The sequence below is a fragment of the Homo sapiens genome, chromosome 6, assembly GCF_000001405.40.
Source record: "Homo sapiens chromosome 6, GRCh38.p14 Primary Assembly".
NCBI classification, from domain to species: domain Eukaryota; kingdom Metazoa; phylum Chordata; class Mammalia; order Primates; family Hominidae; genus Homo; species Homo sapiens.
In genome coordinates this window covers 140,376,919-140,384,052 of record NC_000006.12, presented here as the reverse complement: position 1 = coordinate 140,384,052, position 7,134 = coordinate 140,376,919, and positions in this window count along the sequence as shown.

Here is a 7,134-nt window from a genome sequence, read left to right as displayed (position 1 = left end):
TGTAAGTCTTTCCTATATTAGAAATGCCTTCTTTCTTCTTCCCTTTCTCTGCCTTGAGAATTAGAATGGCCTTCAAAATCCCACAAAAACACTACTGTAAAAAAGATTTCTGCATCTTCTTTTGTATTCTAAGAATTACCACATTGCAATAAATTTTATTTTTTTTTCTTCTTAGACTATAAATTCCTGGAAATTCAGGCCCTTTGTGTGTATGTTTTGTGTGTGTGCATATTTTTGCTTAATTACAGGTATGCTGAGTAGCAGCATTGTGGCTTAATAAATGTTTACATAAAATATATATGCAAAATATTATTTTAACATGTAATCTAATTAAAACGTACTAATGAGATATTTTACATTAATTTGTTTAGTCTTCAAATTCTGGTGTGTACAATTATAAACACACTCAATTTGAATTTCATATTTTTAATGGTTATGGTAATGTATAGTCCAACCAAAACAATAAAAATATTATAACAGATTAAAAAATGAATGTTAAATAGAAAGCAAAGAAAGAATGCAGGGAGATAGTTTGAGTCTAAGCTCCTAAGCAAAAACACATGAGAAATCAAATTTATCATAAAATTATCACATATACAATATACTTCAAGTACATTGTAGGAGCCACGAAAACATTAGATCTCTTATATTAACAACTAATATAAAAATTTTTTGAAGTTTCACAGTGAATATCAGCCCCTAGAACAACCTAAATTTACCTCAAGTTTTACAAGACTTGATCATTGAGATAAACAAAGTAGAAACATTACTCCTTCAAATCACTGGATACATGCCTCCATGTACATTTTATCTGTGTTTTCAGACTCAGATATTAAAACACAGATATTAATATCTCAGACTCAGATATTAAAATCACAAAATGATTTTCTCTAAAAACATGAAAAATGCAGTCAATAAAATATTAATAAGTTCATGGCACCTTCAAAGTCTGTCTATGAATTAAAGAGTGATTTACCTTTTACAAAGGCAGTTTTTATTAATTTTAATGTAAATATCAAACAACTCAGCTTTCATTCTCAAGGAGTTGAGAATAAATATAAAACTGGTATAAATTTATATATAGTTACACATAACAACATATATGGGAATAAAATAAAATAAGTGCTGTGACATAAGTACAAAGCAGTGGGCACAGCAGAGAAGGCAATTCTACTTTGAAGAGGTGATATGAAGTGAGGAGGGGGCAAGAATACCTTGACGTTTAAGATGGTTAAAGGAAAATTCCTAAAGAAAAATTGTTTACTAAGATTCACCAAATGAAGCAGGGTAGCTCAGGGAGTGAAAGCTACTTCAACAAAGATGTCAAGATATACCCTCCCTGGTAGCTTCAGAAAAGTGAAAGGCAGAGCATTCAGAGAAAAGGAGTCAAAGTGATCATGTCATAGACTAAGAGAGTGGTCAGAATTAAAACTAGGAAGAGAAGTAGAGGAAAACTGATTATGAAAGGTCTTGAAGAGCATGCTAAGGATGTGGGTGGGGCTGTTACATTGTTTTCGACACATCATTAGCTTTCTGTTTTAGAGAGATCACCCAAGTTCCACTGCAAAAGATGTGGTGGAGAAGGCAACACTAAGGAAGCAGAAGAAAAACAGACCAGAAATCATTGCAGGCAAGAGATGAATGTCTAAACCAATGAACTGTGGAAACTGAGAGATTATTGTACTTCGGGAATAAGTAAAAGGAGTTAACACCAGCAGATCATAGTGATGATTTGGCATCTAGAATGACTACCAGGTTACTTAGTTTGATGCCTGGGAATTTGGCCTAAGTAACAAAGGATAACTTGGTTTAGATCTAAAGTGGGTCATTTAGTACAACTCCTTTATTTTATAAGTAATTAAAGTACATAGATCTTAAGTGATTTGCCCAAAGTTTCACAGCTGTTTGTCTAATCCTGAAAAGAATAGCATGTGACTCTTCTAACTTCTATTTCATCCTGTTTCCAACATACAGGACTGTATTCAGCACCCAATTTTCAAACCATGCAAGATGACATAATGGGGAAAAAATAAGAGTTCCTGCTTCCTAATTGTTCCATAGAAGGATCTGGGTGCTATGTATCAGACAATGACAGATTTGCCATTTGAAGATGTTATCTAAAATTTATGAGACAATTATTATAATCTAATCACTTTATTTTTAGGAATAAAAGTTTAAAATCCATCTAATTTTGTAATGCAAAAAATCATCACACTTTCTCTCAGTGATATATCATTTATCATCAGATGTAAAGAAATAGTGAAGTTTTATGTTTAATAATAAGGCAGCTCTTCTTGTGTAATGTCAGATAAGAAAATTTAAAAATCAAATTGCTTTCAGTAATTGCCCTGGCAACTTTGCATACATCAAAATGAGCATGGTGCAAATTTAAAATAGGAGAAAGAGTTCACAGTAGGCATTTTAGAAAATATACAGATAGATTTCTAGTGTGTGTGTGTGTGTGTGTGTGTGTGTGTGTGTGCGCATGTGCGCGCCTTTCCCTGGCCTGAGAGAGTATAGACCACAAAATTAATGATAAGAAAATGTATGCCATTAATTTAGCATAACCAGTAACAAAATACAATCCTGTTCATGAACATAATGCAATACATATGAAATCATGATTACTGTCTTCAGCCACCCCACTTGATGGAACTTGGGGGAAGCACCGGGTTCTTAACTATTAAAATGCTTCACCACATCTACCAATGAGGAATGGAACTGGTAAAAGGACACATTTTCTGTATTTTAGACTTAAAAGTTAAACCCACCTCTGTAGTAAAAATTTCATTAAAAGTGCTCTCACTCTATTTCATAAACTTTCCACAAATAATTCTGTTTTCTCTTTCTCAAACAAAACTGCTTAGTCTTCTCCCTTCCTATGATTGCAAAAGCGATGTGTTCACTCATCTGAACTTAACCACAGGTCTTGCACTCTGACAATATTTGTCTTTACAGCCACCTTTCCTTGCTCCAAACAGTACACCTTTTAAGTCAGTCTCTTTCCACATGCTCTGTCTACAAACATATCTTCCTGGCTTAAAGTTAGTCCTACTTTTTTTTAATTAATCACCCTACAGACACCAGCTAATTGCAAAACACTCAAAGTTACCCCGTGTATCATGATTCCTCTGTCCTGTGACTCATTAGCTCACTAAACATTGAATAATCACAGACATTAATTTCAAATAAGAAAAAATTTACTTCTAAAGGTAATACATTCTTTTCATTTTGTTTCTCAATTCCATTTTAACTCCTTCTGTGATCTTGCCTCATCTTTCTAACTCAGGCATTTCCTAAGCCATAAAGTTTGGAAAGCACTATGTATCAAAGGCCTGGTGTTAGACCATGCTGGCCCTAAAACGCCATGCTACCTTGAGTCTCATGCTTTGTAAATGGGGTTATTTGGCTGGAAAATTGGTTCTTAACTTGGATATAGATACTAGAGAGAAATGATTAACAATATTGCAATGCAATACACTAGCAGAGAAATAAGTATATAATATGACTTGTGATGAAATTCTAAAACCCTCTTCAGACAATCTAGCATGCATAGAACCAGATGTTTCTGAAATACCTTCCTTCCTTCCCTATTGAGATTAATTGGTCTGGAATTATTTCTTTAAACCTTCAGCTTTATCATCTCATGATTCTATAAAGCACATTTTACATTTAAATATAGTCTATTTATAACCACCATCACACAGATACCAGTAAATAGCATTGTAAATCCTTTCATACAGAGAACCATTAATGAATTAATTATTACATTAATTCACTCCATAAATATGTACCATATGTCTCATATGTTGGAGCTCATGCAGAATAATTTCCAGTAGGTTTTACAGATTAAACAAAAACAAAGCTCAAAAAGTTAAATAACTTGCCCAAGGTCACATAGCCAGTAGTTAAACATATGGTCAAGTCGTAGCAAAGTCCATGTGTTTTTCATTCCATTCCACTGACCTCAAGGAGCTCCTGGGTTAGAGAAGGAAATGTACGACCAAGTAAATAGTTTTAAAATGAAGAACAAGAAGGTGTTTTGCTATGAAGTTTTTTGGTGTATCCTCTCCCTCTGAGATTCTCCTGAGTCCAAAAAATAAATAAAATATTTTTTATTATTTTAATCACTAGACTTTCTTTTAAAGTAGAAGAACTTTGAACAAGCCATAAAATTTATTATGGCTTGTATGAAGATTTCTTTGCTGATGGTTTAAAATGTAAATATATTTGGCCTTAAGAGTAACTTTAAAAAAATGGTATTGTTACTTGAAGAAAGAACCTCAATATGCAAATTTTTCTGTACGCCTCTGGCCACCCTTGAAACAAGCAGATGGACTGGGCTCTGCCTGCCTGATCACTTTCCCAATGAGAGTCAGACTCTGTGGGGAGAGGGAAAGTTAATTAAGGCCTCTTAACAAAGCAAGTCAAAGCAACAAGTCTCATCTTTGGCCACATTACTGCTATTTTGCATTCTGAGCCCTGTTGTTGGAAGTTCTCTTACTTATTAATGCACTTAATGAACAGATTCCATCTTTCTTCAGAGCAATTGCTGTAGGGACAGCACATCCTGCCCCTTCTCAGCCATCGTTACCCTATTGTGCATAGGGTGGTCAAAAATGAAAATCTCAACTCTCCTATTTGACTTGAAAGCTTCCTATTTTTATTCTACTATTCCATTGGTTTGCAGAGGAAGAAAAGGAGTATTCAGATTTATCTGTCTTTATTTGATACTATATGTGTGGCTGCTCCTATATAAAGTTCACTCATGGAGAAGAAAATAGCCTGTACAAGTATTACTTCTCAAACCAAAAAATTATTTTTCACTAGTTATACCTAAAGGCTATAACTTAGCTAAATATGAAAGGCAAGGAAGCATGAAACAGAGAGGAATGAGCCATGGTTAAGGGTAGAAAACTTCTGAAGATGTCATGTAGAAGCTGATGTTACAGTAGGGATCAGAAGGAAAAAAAAAAGAATAAGAATGTTTAAGCAAAGCAGGGCAGGAAAGAAAAATCCAGGCCAAGGAAATAGCATGTGTCTGGATAAGGGGGTTTTAAGAGTTTATATAGGAATTTGATCTCTGGGTATATCAGGCAGGAGGGGAGGTATTCCAAAATCGAATAGATGAATGCCAAATTATAATTCCCACCCTAAGAAGACAAAAACTTCACCACAAGATTATTTGTAATAGATTTCCTTGGCTGATTTTGATCAGTCAATAAGAAAACATGAATGAAGTAACAGAGGGGGTGTTGCTGGTTTTATGACTAGAAGCATTGATCTTTTTATTAATTCAAACAAACTATGCTTGACTCTCCTCTTAAATATTTGCTTCCTGAATACAAATTTTAATTATTTAAAGATAGATAGTTTATTCCAAAGGTATTTTTGTGCATAGCCTTATACTGTCACATTTTTCCCCATGCAACTTTCTCATAAAATTAGAGGCAAACTGCAAAAAAGCAAAGTATCCAAAACAGAAAACAGGAAATTCTTCTTAAGCAAATATATCATTAACTCATTTACCACTGCCTGAGAACACTGAAGCGACCTAGAATATTTTTAAATGAGATAATAAATTTATACAAAGTAAACTAGATTTTAAAGTTATAACTTTGTAACAACTCAAACAAAACATAAATCCTTATGCAGAAAAATCCAGGTTTATCAGGAAATATATTAGGGACTAAAATGTCTTCTAAAATTATACTATAATTTCATGGTTTCTGCATAAAAGTTGAAAAACATACTTTAAAATTATTTATGATTTTTTATATTTTTCCTGTTACTTTATTAAAATAATTGACATTTATATAGTAGTGTTTACAGTCTACCATGTGATTTATTTACATATATTATAACATTTGATCTTTAAATAAAACTGATTTTTATAATAACATTGAGATATTTATCATCATCTCTATTTTACAAATAATGAAACTAAGACTAAACAGGTTAAGGATTTATTCAGATTTATACCATAGCATAATAAATACAAATTTGGGAAGCAGTCTTAACATCTGCTTTTTTATATAGAAAAAAATTGTAAGACATTTTATGGGAAGTACATACAACTTAGATAAAGGTTATGTATTTTCAACTAATAAAGAAAATCCAGAAGATTATGTCCGGGAAGCAGATTTTTAAAATTTTACACCAAAAGTTACATTAAATAAAGTCAACAGACAACAGCTGAATTTGAAAAACACATTTATGATACATTTTATAGACTGTGAATTTAGATCTATAAGACAAATATAAACTAACAATGAAAAATCTAATACCTACTTTATTTATATCCATTTAACTAGCAAAAATTTAGAAAGAAGTACAAACATACTTATTGTTGGTTGGGATGTGAAGATGTATTGGTAAGTGATATGTTTAAGACTGTACCAGAATCCATTAAAATTAATTATTCCATATGCTTTCAACAGAGCAATTGTGCAACTGTGGGTACATCTCGTAATAATAAAACCAAGTATGTAAAATTGTGTATACCAAAGATGTGTATCACAATATAATTTATAATAAATAAGGGGCAAATAAATGTTTTCACTCACTTTGAGGAATCACTAATATGATCACTAGATATGTTTAGAAACATATCTAAACATAATATTATACAGACATGAAAATATATTAATTGGAACATATTAGATTCAATATATCAGCATTTCAATATGATATTGTTGAGTAAGGAAGCCAAGATGTAGAAAAGTAGGATAATATTTCTTAAAATAATATCTTATTTTTAGCATTAAAAGAAGAAAAATATGTATTCGTGTATGTGAAAAGTATATTATACATATGTCTATCTGTATATGACTATATGAAAATTGAGGATCATAAGAACACATATTAATGAGAATTATGATGTGGATTATTAGAGGGAAGGGAGTGATTTAGGTTGAAAGAAACAGTGGTCGTGTTCAGATAACATAAGAAAATGTAAAACAATCTGCTTTTTAAAAATATAAATTTTTAAGAATTAACAAATATGTAATACGATAATAATTGCTACTGTCACTGTTATTTTAACAATAGTTTATCATCTAATATTTCGTGTATAATAAAAAAAGCAAATTTGATTATGCTCAGTATGAAGATTTAATGTCAATGCTTTGCTGG